This window comes from Homo sapiens, chromosome 2, assembly GCF_000001405.40.
Source record: "Homo sapiens chromosome 2, GRCh38.p14 Primary Assembly".
Classification (NCBI taxonomy): domain Eukaryota; kingdom Metazoa; phylum Chordata; class Mammalia; order Primates; family Hominidae; genus Homo; species Homo sapiens.
Window position 1 is genome coordinate 21,088,945 of NC_000002.12, and position 15,320 is coordinate 21,104,264.

General features: G+C 39.6%; 2 long non-coding RNA genes across 3 annotated transcripts in view, besides 20 other annotated features; one reads left to right on the forward strand and one right to left on the reverse strand.

Moving 5' to 3' along the window:
- The window catches only part of LOC124905593 (uncharacterized), a 27,037-nt gene extending 18,391 nt beyond the window's left edge, over positions 1-8,646 (forward strand). The window contains exons 2-3 of one of the 2 annotated variants that reach the window (XR_007088660.1): positions 7,177-7,335; positions 8,518-8,646. This is a non-coding gene — a long non-coding RNA (uncharacterized LOC124905593). Of the gene's footprint in view, positions 1-7,176; positions 7,336-7,431; positions 7,521-8,517 lie in introns of those variants that run through there. The other variant, XR_007088659.1, reaches the window with a different exon arrangement.
- LOC124908055 (uncharacterized) lies at positions 5,159-7,498 on the reverse strand. The gene is made up of 2 exons (XR_007088661.1): positions 7,410-7,498; positions 5,159-5,867 (listed from the first exon to the last, which is right to left on the reverse strand). It is a non-coding gene; the product is annotated as an uncharacterized LOC124908055 (long non-coding RNA).
- Positions 5,641-5,811: a silencer, noted in NCBI's record as "165 bp SspI/HindIII fragment". NCBI's record gives its function as "reduces reporter transgene expression in CaCo-2 cells" and the evidence as "EXISTENCE:reporter gene assay evidence [ECO:0000049][PMID:11389586]".
- Positions 5,641-8,381: an enhancer, noted in NCBI's record as "2.7 IE; HindIII fragment". NCBI's record gives its function as "enhancer in intestine" and the evidence as "EXISTENCE:reporter gene assay evidence [ECO:0000049][PMID:11389586]" and "EXISTENCE:transgenic organism evidence [ECO:0001131][PMID:11389586]".
- Positions 5,641-12,840: a biological region, named in NCBI's record as "APOB intestinal control region". NCBI's record gives its function as "regulatory_interactions: APOB | LOC106560211".
- Positions 5,806-6,166: an enhancer, noted in NCBI's record as "356 IE; StyI/SspI fragment". NCBI's record gives its function as "enhancer in CaCo-2 cells but not whole animal transgenic organisms" and the evidence as "EXISTENCE:reporter gene assay evidence [ECO:0000049][PMID:11389586]".
- Positions 6,161-7,200: an enhancer, noted in NCBI's record as "1031 IE; StyI/StyI fragment". NCBI's record gives its function as "enhancer in intestine in whole animal transgenic organisms" and the evidence as "EXISTENCE:transgenic organism evidence [ECO:0001131][PMID:11389586]".
- Positions 6,161-7,200: a DNaseI hypersensitive site, noted in NCBI's record as "DH3 and DH4; Sty I/Sty I fragment; the nucleotide coordinates are approximate for this feature". NCBI's record gives the evidence for it as "EXISTENCE:in vivo cleavage assay evidence [ECO:0001075][PMID:11389586]".
- Positions 8,156-9,156: a DNaseI hypersensitive site, noted in NCBI's record as "DH1 and DH2; the nucleotide coordinates are approximate for this feature". NCBI's record gives the evidence for it as "EXISTENCE:in vivo cleavage assay evidence [ECO:0001075][PMID:10859308, PMID:11389586]".
- Positions 8,376-8,696: an enhancer, noted in NCBI's record as "315 IE; EcoRI/HindIII fragment". NCBI's record gives its function as "enhancer in intestine" and the evidence as "EXISTENCE:reporter gene assay evidence [ECO:0000049][PMID:10859308]" and "EXISTENCE:transgenic organism evidence [ECO:0001131][PMID:10859308, PMID:11389586]".
- Positions 8,463-8,486: a protein binding site, noted in NCBI's record as "Site 4; C/EBP alpha and C/EBP beta may compete for binding". NCBI's record gives the evidence for it as "EXISTENCE:protein binding evidence [ECO:0000024][PMID:10859308, PMID:11244563]".
- Positions 8,491-8,512: a protein binding site, noted in NCBI's record as "Site 3". NCBI's record gives the evidence for it as "EXISTENCE:protein binding evidence [ECO:0000024][PMID:10859308, PMID:11244563]".
- Positions 8,577-8,602: a protein binding site, noted in NCBI's record as "Site 2; C/EBP alpha and C/EBP beta may compete for binding". NCBI's record gives the evidence for it as "EXISTENCE:protein binding evidence [ECO:0000024][PMID:10859308, PMID:11244563]".
- Positions 8,620-8,639: a protein binding site, noted in NCBI's record as "Site 1". NCBI's record gives the evidence for it as "EXISTENCE:protein binding evidence [ECO:0000024][PMID:10859308, PMID:11244563]".
- Positions 8,691-9,181: an enhancer, noted in NCBI's record as "485 IE; EcoRI fragment". NCBI's record gives the evidence for it as "EXISTENCE:reporter gene assay evidence [ECO:0000049][PMID:11389586]".
- Positions 8,691-10,289: an enhancer blocking element, noted in NCBI's record as "1.8 kb EcoRI fragment". NCBI's record gives the evidence for it as "EXISTENCE:reporter gene assay evidence [ECO:0000049][PMID:11389587]".
- Positions 8,691-10,289: an enhancer, noted in NCBI's record as "1.8 IE; EcoRI fragment". NCBI's record gives its function as "enhancer in intestine" and the evidence as "EXISTENCE:transgenic organism evidence [ECO:0001131][PMID:11389586]".
- Positions 8,691-10,289: an insulator, noted in NCBI's record as "1.8 kb EcoRI fragment". NCBI's record gives its function as "insulator in fly transgenic reporter model" and the evidence as "EXISTENCE:transgenic organism evidence [ECO:0001131][PMID:11389587]".
- Positions 8,873-8,896: a protein binding site, noted in NCBI's record as "485 HNF-4/ARP-1 oligonucleotide". NCBI's record gives the evidence for it as "EXISTENCE:protein binding evidence [ECO:0000024][PMID:11389586]".
- Positions 9,116-9,147: an enhancer blocking element, noted in NCBI's record as "CTCF site". NCBI's record gives the evidence for it as "EXISTENCE:reporter gene assay evidence [ECO:0000049][PMID:11389587]".
- Positions 9,116-9,147: a protein binding site, noted in NCBI's record as "CTCF site". NCBI's record gives the evidence for it as "EXISTENCE:protein binding evidence [ECO:0000024][PMID:11389587]".
- Positions 11,517-12,840: a matrix attachment site, noted in NCBI's record as "HpaI/NdeI fragment for 5' MAR". NCBI's record gives its function as "associates with the nuclear matrix" and the evidence as "EXISTENCE:fractionation evidence [ECO:0000100][PMID:11389587]".

Genomic DNA, 15,320 nt, shown 5'->3' on the forward strand with positions numbered 1-15,320 from the left:
TTCTGGTTGTTGTGTCATGCTCATGAGGCCTTTTTACTCCACAATTTTAAAAGTTTCCTGTATTACCTTCTGAAATTTCATGGTTCACTCTTTCATATTTAGATATTTCATGTTCAGATATAGATCTATGAGGACTTTAGTTTTCGGTTTGAGGTGAGGTTTCGTGTGTTTTCCATTCTCCCTTTTCTATATAGGAGTTTTTATTGCAGCTGTTCTACTGCTCCACTAATTTGTTTTGGGTGGGTAGATGTAGAAGAGCATTTAACATGTTTACTTGATAGTTCATCAAATCATAACAAACCACATCCATATTTGATGTACGGGAATGTGCAGCCCTGAGTTCTTGACTTTTGAGATGAGTTCAGTAACTGCCTGGGGTTTGGGGTCATCTCCCTTTGGGGAAAGATGAGTGTGAAGAAGAGTATGTGAAGATATATAGTAGCCAGAGAAGCTGACTGTGGCAGAGAGCACAAAGTGTCCACCAAAACAATCTTCCAGTTCTCCCTTCGGGCACACAGCTAGAGTCCATCTCCCTGTCTCCTTCAGTTAGGTAGAGCCAGGCGACTAAGTTCTTTTTGGTGCAGTGTCAACAGCCATGCTTGCCACGCCCATAGAAGCCTTCGTATGTACTTCATCCTTTTTGAAGGCTGGATGTAGTTGAAAAGTTTCTAAGAGACGGGGCCAGGAGATGCCAGGGTTCTTAAAGACATGAAAGACTGCATGGGGGACTTGAAAGTTGCCTGCTGAATGTTTTGCCTTGAACTTACACTCAAGTGAGAAATAAGCTTCTGAAAGTATCAGTTTGCTTTAGTTTTTTTTTTTTTTTTTTTTTTTTTTGAGATAGAATCTCGCTCTGTCTCCCAGGCTGGAGTGCAGTGGTGCGATCTGGGCTCACTGCAAGCTCCGCCTCCAGGGTTCACGCCATTCTCCTGCCTCAGCCTCCCGAGGAGCGGGGACTACAGGCGCCCGCCACCAAGCGCGGCTAACTTTTTGTATTTTTGGTATAGACGGGGTTTCACCGTGTTAGCCAGGATAGTCTCGATCTCCTGACCTCGTGATCCGCCCGCCTCGGCCTCCCAAAGTGGTGGGATTACAGGCGTCAGCCACCGCGCCCGGCCCGAGATATGCTTTTTGAGTTAAGAAGATTCCTTTTATTTCTAACTTACCCAGTGGCTTTGTTGTTGTTTTAATCAGAAATGAGTGTTAAATTTTATTGAAGATTTTCACACCTGTTAACTATATCATATAGCTGTTCCCCTTAAATCTTCCTATGTAATAAATTCCAATTATTACATTAATAGAGTCCTTAAAGTAGAACTATATTTAAATATGACCGTAAGATGGTATTCTTTTAATGCAATGCTGGACTTCATTTTGTTTATAATTTTTGTGTATGTTCAAGTGTTTCATTGATTTATAGTTTTCTTTTTTATCCTATCTTTGTCCAGTTTTGTCACTGAGTTTATGCTAGATGCAAACTGAGAAGTTTATCAGCTTTTTCTTTAATCTTTAACAATTTATATATCATGAGTTATCAGGGCCTCATGCCCTTTGAAGGACATGTATATATATATATATATATTTACTATGGTTCTAATTTCCTCTAGTGTTATGGATCTATTCATTCTTTTCATTAAAATTTGTAATATTTGTTATGTCCCCTCTTCTAATTTAATTTTTGTTAAATTTTATTAAATTTTCAGTGGTTATATCAGTTTTTAAATTCCTGCCATGCACTGCTCTTATTGATTACAGTTTCTGAGGGCTCATGTATTGTCAAAGAATGTGAGTTTTGATTTCACAATTTTACCATTTTCTAACTTATTTATTTTTGCTTTTATTTTTATTTCTTTCTTCTGCTTTCCTTGATTTTATTTTGTTTTTCCCTTTCTAATACTTCGAGGGTTGTTAATTTTTTTGTTTAATTAGAAGGCATTTGGGGCTATAAAGTTTTCTATATTTCACAAGTTTTGATTAATAATATCTTGTTCTAATGTTTCCTAAGTAGTCCGTTAATTCATAAAATTCTTCATCAAATGGCTTGTACAATAAGAAACTAAAATAGCATGCTTCATGTCAGTCTCTTACAAGTAGAATATCTTTCCATTTCTCCATGGATTTTTGAAGTATTCCAGGCTATATTTTACTTTCAGTAACTCATATCAGGTGAAAGAGGAAGGAACTGAGCCAACACCACATTCCTCTGGAGTATGTTTGGTATTCTTCAGGTACAATTTTACTCATGAAAGTCTTTTTTAGAATTATAGTCTTACTGCAAACAAAAAGGAACCTGAATCTTTATAGGTGATCTATTTCTTTTTCATTACTAATTGGGAAAATGTACATACTTAACTATGTGTTTATCAATATTAAAACTTTTGAATTCTAAAATTACCAAAAATATGAGAGCTTTAAGTAATAAAAATTGGTACATTTCATCTTTAAATATTTTAATTGCCTTATGTATGAAATAAAGTATCATATTAATTTGACATGGCAATTTCTATTTCATTGTCTTTATTTATTTATAGTGCTGTATAGAAACTTAATATGACCACAGAAAGCCTTTCTATTATCTGCCATAGGGATTTAAAGATATTTTCTTTTGTCTTCTCCAATCATCTCATTTATTAAAACTAAAGTTTCATGTTTTTAGTAGAGTCCTTGAAGTAGAAATATATTTAAATAAGACCATGAAATGGTATCCTTTTAATGCAATGCTGGACTTTGCTTATAATTTTTGTAAGTGTATTAAAATGTTTTATTGGTTTATAGTTTTCTTTTACATCTTATTTTTGTCCAATTTTTGCATTGTGTTTATGCTAGATGCAAACTAGGAAGTTTTCAGCTTTTTCTTTGGTCTTTAACAATTTATATATCATGATTTATTGGGGCCTGGTGCCTTTTTGAGGGATGTATTTTTACTATGGTTCTAATTTCCTCTAATGAATTCATTCCTAAGGAGCCTATTAAATTTTCTCTCTGCTCTACATCACTGCACCAGCAACAATAATTATTAGCTTTGTGAACTTTGGCAAATATCTTAACCTCTCTGTGCTTCAATTTCTTCAAATGTAAAGTAGGGATAACCGCAGTTTCTATCTCACAGGATCTTTCCAAAGTTAAGAGTCTATAACATAAAGTATTTACAATAGTCCTGGGGATAATGTTAGTGCTATATACATTAGCGCTATTATAATATTTTTATCATAATATAGAAGTAATCATAGCTGCCTCCATTGAAAACCTTATGGCTATTTTTTTTCTCATTATTAAATTGTCCTTTATGTGTGAAGGACATTATATAAATTGTCATCATCTTGTCCCAAACCCAGTGATGTGGGTGTTATTACTCTCCATATGAGAAGCTAAGAGATGTGAAACAACTGTCAAATTCACAAGGTAGCAAGTGATAGAAGTGACATTTGAATCCACATTTGTCTGTCACATAAGTCTGTGCTCTTCTCATTATATTACCCAGCCTGATGTCACCCTGTCTACAAAAACCTACTTTCATAACCTCTTTCTGCCATCAGCAAAGCAGAGGTTCATCTTTTTTGGCACACTGAAAAGACTGTGCTTAGAGCAGCAACGTTGTACCACTGTGCCGCAGGATTGAACTGCAGGTCTTTAGTGACATTAATGATTTACTGTTGCTTATCTCAGCTTACCCCAGGTAATTTGTCAATCAATACCTGGCCTTTGGATTTTCTCTATGTCATTTCTCCCTGTTCCCAATTTTAAACATGTATTTAAGATTGTCTAGCTAGAATTTCTCTAGCTCTCTGGGCAGTCCCTTGGCATGAAGGGGTTATGCAATATAAAATGCTCATGAATCAATATTTCACAGGATCCCTGGAGTTCAAGTTGGTACTGGAGGAAAATGGCGATTTTCCAGGGTGAAGCCCAAAGTACTAGTTGCTAGAAAAATGCTTCTGAGGCCTGAAAATAATCAAGGATTTTTGTTGTTGTTTTTGTTTTATTTTTTGTGCCTATCAAAGACCTGTGTATAACCCAGGTCTGCATGTCCATGAAGCAAGCCTTCTTTTTTCACTCCAATCCAGCATGCTCACTACCCCACCTTTCCCCTCTTACAGCAGCCTTGAATCACAAAGTAGTTGTCTATCAGTCTTGATTGTTTTATGTATTTATCCAGTATCCCTAACAAAATGGTAACTCCTGTATCTTTTCTTTTGTATTGGTATCCCGCAGTCCTCTGCCAAGAAAGGACTATGCAGTGACCATTGCTTCCTTTTAAAATTGTGGCAAAATATACATAACATAAAATTTACCCTTTAACTATTTTAAACTATCTAGTTAAGTGGCATTAAGTACATTTACATTATTGTACAGCTACCACCCATCTCTAGAACTTTTCATCCAAACTGAAACTCTCTACTCATTAAACAATTTCTCCCCAGCCCCTGGGAAAACCACCATTCTACTTTCTGTCTCTATGAGTTCAACTACTCTAGGTACCTTATATAGGTGGAATCACACAATCTTTGTCCTTTTGTGTCTGACTTATTTCACTTAGCATAATGTCCTCAAGGTTCATCCATGTTTTAACGTATGTCAGAACTTCATTATTTTTATAGGCTGAAGAATATTCCATTGTGTGTGTGTGTGTGTGTGTGTGTGTGTAAGTGTATATGACTTTTTGCTTATCTGTTTAGTCATTAATGGATATTTGGATCATTTCCACCTGTTGGCTATTGTGAATAATGTTGCTATGAGCACTGGTGTACAAATATCTGTTTGAGTCACCTCTTATTGGGTGTATATCCAGGAGTGGAATCACTGGCGATGTTTAATAACTTTGAGGAACTGCAATACTGCTTTCATAGCTGCTGTCCCATTTTACATTCCCACCAGCAATGCCCGAGTTCCAGTTTCTCCACACTTTCTCAACAATTGTTATTTCACCATGATTCTTCTGACTTAATCCTCATGACAAATTGATAATTATTACTATACCTAGTATTGGTATTGTGCTTCACAATTGACCATTTTGCATATATTATGCTTTTGAATATTTATAATAATCTTTGGTTTAAGTATTACAGCTACATTACAAAAGAATACATTGATATTTAGAGATGCTACATCACTTGTCCAAGAGCACAGAGCTAGTAGGTGGAAAAGTCAAAACCATAACTTTACCAGATTTCCTTTATTATTTGAGAATTAAACAATTCATGTTTTTGAGATTCTCCCTCGAATGTTTCACTCACTCTGCATTATAATAAGGGCAGTTCACGCATTGAGAAAGATTCCTGAAAAGGAGACCTGCTGCTGTCCCATGTCTCCCAAGGTATCAAAGAAAATAAATGACTTAAATAAGTAACAGGAAGGGTTTAGGTTAGATATTAATTGGGTGGTTGGTGTTGGTCAGACATTGGAAAGGATTACCAAAGGACTTTTTGAAATAATGCAAGTCCTGAAGAACGCCATAGAGTTCATCCTAGTACATGTCTGAAGGCAAGGAAGTAATTCAGTGCAACCTTGTTAGTTATTTGAAAGTAGGGGATAAACTGGATGACTTCACATCATTTCTTCAAGTTACCTGATTCTATAACACAGATTCTACCAAATGGCTTTGTACTAGTGAGGTAAATTGTTTTTTGGGGTTAGGGGATGAAGCTTGTTTTCTCAACTCCTTCATCATCGATCTCTGGAGAATGCAGTCCCCAACTCTCAATTCCATTTCATACCCTCAGAGTTCACGAGGTCTTCAGGGGAGGGGACAGAGATGACCTAATTCACCTGGGGGTTCTGAGTTAACCTCACCAGTTAACTTTCTTAAATATTGTTGAGTTGTTTTTCTTCTGCTCTTCTGGGAGATTTGAAGGATTTGCAATTTTGGCCTGAAATTAAATGGGATAATTTCTTTTATTTTTTTTATTTTTTTTGAGATGGAGTCTCACTCTGTCGCCCAGGCTGGAGTGCAGTGGTGCAATCTCAGCTCACCGCAACCTCCACCTCCCGGGTTCAAGCGATTATCCTGCCTCAGCCTCCTGAGTAGCTGGGATTACAGGCGGCGTGCCACCACACCTGGCTAATTTTTGTATTTTTAGTAGAGACGGGGTTTCATCACGTTGGTCAGGCTGGTCTTGAACTCCTGACCTCGTGATCCACCCCCCCCCCCCCCTCCGGCCTCCCAAGGTGCTGGGATTACAAGCGTGAGCCACTGTGCCAGCCTAAACGGGACAATTTCAATGTCCAAATGTTACATGTTGTCAGTGGTGGGTCATAAAGTGGGGACAAGGGAGTTGACTTAACACAAAAAGGGTAGAAGGAAGATATCTGGTGAAGAAATAAAATTCTCTGGGTATTTATGTAGATGCTGCCACCAATGAGCTATCTGCCTTAGAGCAATCTGTAGGGAAATTAGATATCCATGTGACTCTATTCATGCTGGGCAGTCCCTCCTCTCTCCTTCAGAACTGTAATTGTACACCATTCAGTGACCTTGAATGCAAGACCAATTCTGCTGTCTAGAGCTGTTCAATATCCATGCATGTCACTTTCCTCACGACTCAAAAGAAGGAATTAGAGCTTTCCACCTCACAGTTGTTAGAGATTAAAATAACAAAACTTTTTGAAAATTAGTGTGCATTCCAAGCACTCTAAAGACCTTGTCAGGAGAATGTTGAAATTAAGACAAAACTATTCTAGAAATCATTTAAGAAATTGCTAGCTGAGAAACGAAGGCAGTAAACAAAAGTGGCAATCAGTTCATAAGTGATGTGCATCTGAAACTCAAAAAGATAAAAATAAGAAGCAAATTGTTGAAAACACAAAAAAGCAAAAGTATTGCCTCTCACCCACATCTGCTTTATTTTGTTCTCCTTTCTTTGAAGTCCCCTTGTCATAGGCCCTAGCCTCTTACACAGTAAATGACAAGTGAAGAACTGGATTTTGTGGGGCAATCACTGAAGGACTGAAGCGTCACTTTAGTAAATATCCCAGCTTTTCCAACAGGTCAGCAGTGGTGACCTGGAGTAGTGATCACACTGTTCCTGCCTGATGCAGGACATTTAGTCTTTAGAATGATGGAGCACAGAATGCAGAGCTGGGGAGACTACTCAGAGATAATCCCGTCCAACCCGTCATTGTACAGATGATGAAACTGAAGCCAGCAGAGTGCTATTTTTTTTTTCTTTTAAATTTCAGAATTGAAAATTAAGAATGCCATGTAAAGCAAGGTGAAAAAGGCAGGGGTGTACACATCAATCCCAGATCCAGGGAGCCAACATCTTTAAGTAGACTTCTTCAGATGGCCTGTGGGGTACCACAGAGCTTACAGAACAACTTAAGATCACTCCAAACCAGGTAACATTTCAATAAATACATGGATTTAAGGCCAATAGAAGCTGGCTTAGCACCTTGCTGATCCTCATTCTTACCAGAACTCCCGTCTAACCCCAGGTAACTTCACAAGTTGTTAGAAACCATCCTTCAAAGATCTGCCTCTTTCCTTCTGCGTGGCAGCTGGAGACTCCTGCTTGGTCCTAATCAGTGCAGGATCAACAACAGAAATCCGCAAATGTCAGTCATTTTTCTGTTTTCACTACCCAGTTGTTTTCTCTTGAGTTTAACTGCCTGAATTTTAGTGTCTGTGATAAGCACTCAGGGGTAATATCATACACCTCTGGAAGCCCTCTACTGATTGTGGGCTATGATCTGCAAGTGATGAAAGCAGGATTTGGCCAATTAGGAGTACAAGAATTTCTTGGCACTGCCAGAGCTTCACAGAAGATGTGTGCTGTGCACATTCCCATGGAGCTGGCTTGATTTCACAATCTTTCACAGCCTATTGTAATATACCACCCATCTCAAACAAGGTCCCTGTCCAAGTGTGCTTTAATGTTTTATGAAATCAGCTGCAAATGTCAGGATTTAAAAATCCAAAGTTGAAACCCACATTTTATTCTTTTTTATTCTGTAAGATTTAGCATGTCAATTACATCTTTAATCATAAAAGAGCATGACAAACAAAATGTGTTGTGATGGGAGTATGAAAATTTTTTTCTAATACTTTTATATTAGTATTTTATATTTTATATTTATATTAAATGCCCTATGATGAAAGTATATTTGTGAACCAAAAAATATGTATGTATATTAAAGAATCTTGCCAAATATAGTGGGAATTTTTGGGGCTTTGTGATGTTGATGTTGGATCTTCGTCACTCACTCAGCTCAACAATGAAATAAAGCACCAGGGTGTTGGTTGGCTACTTCGATGTTTTATGCGTCTATGAAAAGTCTAAACTTATCATCATTAAAAGTGGACTTGTGGAGTCTGGGGGATGATTTTGATACTAGTTTTATTGTTCAAAACCCCAGAGTTGGAGCTAGAACTCTCAGAGAAGCTTCTCCTTGAGAAGGTAAAAGGGAAGGCAGGGTGCTCTTCCAGTGCAGGTGGGGTGGCCTCAACACTCCCAGGCTTTCTGCTTCTTCAGTGTTTTCCTCAGCGTGACTAACGAAAATGCTCTTTGTTCTTTATTCCAGAGTCAAAGACATCCCTGCCACGCAGCACATAGATTTATAACTCTGGTCAAAGGTTTCGACAAATACAGATTTCTTCAATCCGAAGTCCATCTGTGTGTGTTCCCAGAAATAAAGAACAGTGCATGTCTATCTCCCTCTCTCTAATCCGTAGAGGTAGCAAGGGCAGGAGAATTGAATTCCCAAAAGGACTTCTTATAGCTCTGGTGACAATTACCATCTCAAACAGGCTGGTGCTACCTTGGGGACACATGTGGACTTTATTTTTTGCTCTCTTTTTTCAAACTGAGGTAGTGTCAGCACTGACACAGACAGTCCAGAGAAAAGAAACTGTGTCTGCTGTCATGTTTATTTAGTTGGTATAAGTGGAAAGATCATAACCTGAAGTTTTGATGAAAACACACTTCTTGCTCAGATAATCCATTATGTCATTGATTAGTTCTGCTAAGAGAAAGCGAATGGGTTAAAGAAACAAAAAAGACAACAAGATGTGGGATTAGGTCTGGGGATGTGGAGCATGTAGGGAACATCATAAAATTTCTGATTTCATATCTGGGACCTGGGTACATGATCTGAGACATAAATTTGAATGTTCAACAGCCAAATTATCCTGCCCCCTAGACATAACCTCCCATGATGCAAAGCAACAGGGAAGGTGCATGAATTCTTTCAGGCTCTATGAATGTCCCTGAGCAATCTGTTTCTTTAGCATCTTACATAAACATGGCTGGAATGACAAAAGCTCACCAGGGTGCCTATGGGGAAGGGGTGCAGTTCCAATGCCTGAAGTCTCTGTGACAACACCAAGGGAAAAACATTGGAATGGAAGCCAATATAATGATATTGAACCCGCTCAAGTGAGCAGTTTTGTGGAAGGCATCCATTTTGGAGCTGAGCTCAAATACTACTGGAGCTCAGTATTGTAGAACAGCCTGATTCACCACCAGGTCTGCAGTAGAGTCCAGGTATGGCATTACCCTTTGATTTACCTAATCTGGGAAGAAGCCAATTGGCCTATGGAACACCTGAAAGTAAAACACTGCCCACCAGAGATGAGAAACTTTGCCTGCCTATAAACTCTGATAAGATGCCCTTGATAACTGAAAACCACAGGAATGCCAACAATAAGTCTCAGTTATTGAGAAGTTTGCTGTCCAGTGGGAAAGGCAGGTAATAACAATCCTCAAAAATAATACATTAAGTGCTATACTAAGGGTATATCCAGGGTGCTGTCAGAATGCAGAAGAGGCAGTACCTAATCCAGCCTGACAGTGAGGGTCAGGGAAGGCTGCCACTATATCTAGATTTAAGAAATTCAGAGCACAGTTGACATAGCTTGTCTTAAGGATGACACTTGGCCTTCTAAATAAATCAAACTTTTCCCAGAACCATTTCAAAGGACTTAGCTCTGTGTATCCATCTGCATTCCCAGTGAATGGAAGAAAGGTCAGAAATGAGTTAATGCTCATACACTGGCCTGTGCCACTGTTTTAAATCTATTGTCACTGCTTTGTCTGCTGAATTAGTATTCCTCCCTACCTGATTTTCTTTAACAAGCCAGTTCTTTGTGTCTTCCAATATCCTTCTCTTCATATAATTTCAAAACAGATCTCCGTCTAACCACTTAAATTGTTTAGCTTCATGTGACATGTCTTCTGGAGGCTAACAGCATAATTGCTTTAGATAATTTTTTTTTGTTTACATTATGTAAGATTTTACTTCACTTGACATTTGCTATTTTCCCTTCCCTACCTTCTGTATACTTCAAGGAATTCTGAACTGTCAGTGCTCACACAGCATAAGCCTGGCACTTATTTTCAGTATGATATGTCACTTCATAACAAAAAACCTAGAAACATATTCATTTCCTGTAAAATTATCTGAGTTGAGTGAGTTTAAAGTTGGAGAATGGGCTCTACCTGGGGCTACAGAGAGAGCTCAAGCCCCTAAAAGTGAATGTCATCCTCTCATGCCCTGATGAAGCTGTTTATTTTCCATGACGTAGCACTTTCCATCCAGGACAAGGTCTGACCAGCCTGGCTCACGACAAAATTAGACTGGATATTGGCATCCTCTTATCTTTTTGTCTTTTCTCATTGGTATTGTTCACGTGTCCATTATTCCTCTGGTCTGGAGAGGCTGAAAGAACTCAGGAATTACAAGGATGGACCTTTCAGTTGCAGGCTGTGGACCTATAGTAGGTCCTTTAGAGTGGGATGATTTGTTGTTGAGTAAGGGCCTTGCTCAAGCATTGTCAGCCCAAGCTTGGACACAATGCAGGGTCACTTCGGTTCTCCTGGAAATGAGAATAGTGGTAGCCAGTGGAGAGACTATTTTTGGAATAACATTTCCAAAGGCCATTTCCACTTCAAAAATAAATATTATGCACGAACTGGTATGATTATGTAGATTTTCATGTTGGATCTGTTAATATGATAGATTATACTGACAGATTTTTAAACTGCTTTATTGAGATATAATCCACGTACCCTACAATTCACACAATTAAAGGATACAATTCAGTGGTTTTTAGTACAATCACAGAGTTGTGCAACTGTCACCACAACTTAATTTTAGAACATTTTCATCACCTTCAAAAGAAATGCCATACCCAATAGCCATTACCACCACATCTCCCATTTACGCAAGCCCTAGGCAATCAATAATCTACTTTCTGTCTCTATAGATTTTTCCTCATTCTGGACATTTCACATAAATGGAATTATATAGTATGTAGTGGCTTGTTACTGGCTTCTTTCACTCAGCATACCGTTTTTAAGGTTTGTCTGTGTTGTAGCATGTAAGAGAGGTAGTTCACTGTTTTTTATTGCCAAAAAATTTCCATTGTATAGATATATCACATTTTGTTTATCCATTCATCAGTTGATGGGCATTTGGGTTATTTCCTCTTTTTGGCTATTATGAACATTGATGTACAAGTGTTTTTGTGAACATATATTTTTATGTGTCTTGAATCTATACCTAGGAGTGAAATTGCGGGTCATATGGTAATTGTATATTTAACCAGTTAAGAATTGAGAGAAAACAGGCAACAGTGAGAACTTTTCAGAAGAAAATGTTAAGGACAGTAAAAGGAGATCGTGTTTGGGACTGAAAGGGGCTAACCCTAGCCAGTCTGCATAATCTGGATATCAATGGTGGTAACAAAAAACATTTCCTAGGTAGCCCTTAGAAAACAAAACTGCAAGTAAACTTTCTTTTAGTTATAATGTCCTAAGATATTTTTCTTATCCATACAGGGGGTTAGGTAGATTTTCTATTCTTGTAAATTATTTGTACATGGCAGGTCTCAGAAGCACTTAGGAGGAAATTGTATCAATTTCATTGCCTACAGTCATATCTGAATCTTGTAAAGCTGTGCTGTCCAACATTATGGCCACCAATCATGTGCTGCTTTTAAAATTAAAATAAAATAAAATTTAAAATTCAATTCCAAATCACACTAGCCATACTTCTTTTTTTCTTACTTTTTTTTTCTTTTTTTTTTTGTTTTTTTGAGAGACGGTCTCACTCTGTCATTCAGGCTGGAGTGCAGTGGTGTGATCATGGCTCACTGCAGCCTTGACCTTCAAGTCTCAAGCAATCCTCTGGCCTCAGCCTCCCTAGTAGCTGGGACTACAGGCACACACCACCACGCCCAGAAAAGTGAAAAAAAAATTTTTTTTTGTGACATGGGTTCTCACTACTTTTCCCAGGCTAAACTTGAACCCCTGGATTTAAACAATTCTTCTGTCTTGGCCTTCCAAAGCCTTGGGATTATAGGTGTGAGCCACCATGCCCAGCATTAGCCACATTTCAAGGGCTCAATCACCAGATTTTGTTTATGGCTTTGGTATCAGACAGTACAGACAGAGACTGCTCCCCTTATTGCAGCAAGTTCTATCAGACAGTGTTGTGCTATAGCATGAAAGCAGAGGTTCTCAACTGGTGGTGATTTTTACCTCCCAAAAGAATCTGGCCATGTCTTGAGACATTTTGATTTTTATAACCTAGTATGTCCGGAATTGGTGGGTTCTTGGTCTCGCTGACTTCAAGAGTGAAGCCGCGGAGCCTCGCGGTGAGTGTTACAGTTCTTAAAGGCGGCGTGTCCGGAGTTTGTTCCTTCTGATGTTCAGATGTGTCCAGAGTTTCTTCCTTCCGGTGGGTTCGTGGTCTCACTGACTTCAGGAGTGAAGCTGCAGACCTTCGCGGTGAGTGTTACAGCTCTTAAAAGCGGCGCGTCTGGAGTTGTTCTTTCCTTCCGGTGGGTTCGTGGTCTCACTGGCCTCAGGAGTGAAGCTGCAGACCTTCATGGTGAGTGTTAACAGTTCATAAAGTTGGCGCGTCCGGAGTTGTTCGTTCTTCCCGTCGGGAGTTGTTTGTCCCTCTCTGTGGGTTTGTGGTCTCGCTGGCTTCAGGAGTGAAGCTGCAGACCTTTGCGGTGAGTGTTACAGTTCATAAAGTTGGCGCGTCCGGAGTTGTTCGTTCCTCCCGTTGGGAGTTGTTTGTCCCTCTCTGTGGGTTTGTGGTCTCACTGGCTTCAGGAGTGAAGCTGCAGACCTTCACAGTGAGTGTTACAGCTCATAAAGGCGGCGCGGACCCAAAGGCGAGTAACAGCAAGATGGCTGCCACGGGACCTAGAAAGGGGAGAAGCCATGTTGCCCAACTCCAGAGGTTGGTATAAGAGTTTGAAAGGTATTGTCTGATTTCAGAAGCCTTTTCCTGTAAATGCCAGGTGGCATCTCATACTATCCCTGACTGGTTAGTGTAAAAACGACTTCCCCTAAGAAGGTGCAGAGTCCTCCTTTCTCAGCAGTGAAGAGGTCTAGGCCTTGGTGGTTCTAGGGGAGGGAGGTAACCACTGGGCGGAGGCCAGAGATGTTCCTAAACATTCTGCGAGGCACAGGGCAGCCTCCACCATGATTAGCCATCCAAATCGTCAATAGTGCTGAGATGGGAGAGTTCCCTTGACACCTTTGTAGAACTTGCGACAGGTGTGTGGCTCGTTTACTCCTCCGCCACGCTCAAACCCCTTGCTGGAGGGGGAGCACAAATGTGAGCAGGTGCAGGAGCTGGGGTGAGTGCCTTTGGGTGTCCGCAGGAATGAACCGTGTACTGGCCCGCGGCAGCATCCTCTAAAACCCCGGAGGGGATGTACTACAAACAATGGTCTTTTAGCTTTGCCATCCACGGATGGCTTAAGTGTTAAAACAGCTCAGTGAAGTGTCAGTCTTTTTGGATTCCCACACCCGGTGTATCCCAAATTCTTGTCTGGTGTCCAAGAAGTATCAGGTCACATGAGCAGATTGAAGGGTGGTATATGCACAGGATTTCATTGAGCAATGGGAGTTGCTCTCAGTGTCATGGGGAGCTGGAAATGGGATAGAGTGGAAATATAATCTTCCCCTGGAGTTCAGCATGGGATGGCCAAACTCCTCTCCAACCATAGTCTCTGACGTGCAGACGTTCAGACGCTTCTCTTCTCTCCTCTGCTGCACTGCTCTGCTCCTCTGCCAATGGAGCTTGGGCTTTTTATGGGTACAGGGTTGGGGGTGTGGTGGGCCAGGGTGGTTTTTGAAAAGGCAGAATTCAGGCGTGAAAACAGGGAGTGAAGTTCTCGTTTGGGGCTGCAGGCCCAGGTTTGAGGGCGGAACACTTGCTAGGGACCCCACCCTTTTCTACCTAGTATTTCCCTGCCTCCTGTTTGTATCAGTGCCAAGGTTGAGAAACCCTCTTCTAAAGCAATGATGTCTACATTGAGCCTGATTTTTATCAAAAAATCTAAAGAATCACCTGGCCAGCTTTTAAAAATCCATATGCTTGAGCCCTACCCCGAAGATTTTGATTAAGAAAGAAGAGGATCTCAGGACTTGTGTTGTTCAAAAGCTTTCCAGGTGATTCTTAGGATTGGCCAGATTCAAGAACTATTGTATTAAAGTACACTGAATCTCAACTTTCAGTTTAGAAGAAAACCACCTGGTAAGCATTAGCAGTACTCTCAGAATAGGTTAATGACTCTAAGGCCATTACCTCTTCTGTTTAATTTCTCCAATTACCTCTTTCTCAATTAATGGGGTCATTAAGCACTTAAGACTTGCATTAATTTCCCTCCTCTCTTTTGTAATTCTTTCATTCTGCATAAATCTAGTTTGCAAATGATTACAGCTTGTTAAATATTGTACACTTTCTGTTTACAAACAGAACAAATGACCTAGAAAATGTTTGGCAGCTGTCTTTGTTCATTAGGGTTTAACAGGAAATAGCTGAGTAAACAAGCAGTCTAGCCCTGTAGGTGGCATGGCATGACATATTATAGTCCATTTCTTTGCTACTAAATAACTTAATTCATGCAAGTGAAATTCACTTTAAATGATTTGAAGTTGCTTACTTTAAGGTCAATATAATTCCACTGAACTTAGAAAAGTTTAAATGAATTAATTTTAGGTTTAAGATATTCGTCTGCTTTCCACTTTCCATCATTCTGTAATAAATTACACAAAGGAAATACTCCCTGCTCTCAAGAAACTTGAAAGGTAATACGATGTAGTTGTGGAAATGATGCATAAATACAAGTAACTACAAGAAACATGTCAAACATTCTAAGAAGAGTTATACATTTGAGAGGAAGAGATCTTTTCAGATGAAGATCTAGGAAATTGTTATGGAAGTAGCAGCATCTTACCTCCCCCTACACCCATTCAAAAAATGTTTGCTAGTGCCTACTCCATGCGAGGTCCACTGTATTAGGAGCTAGGGATAAACAGACACAATCCCTCTACTCATGGAACTTACTTTCCTAGAGAGTA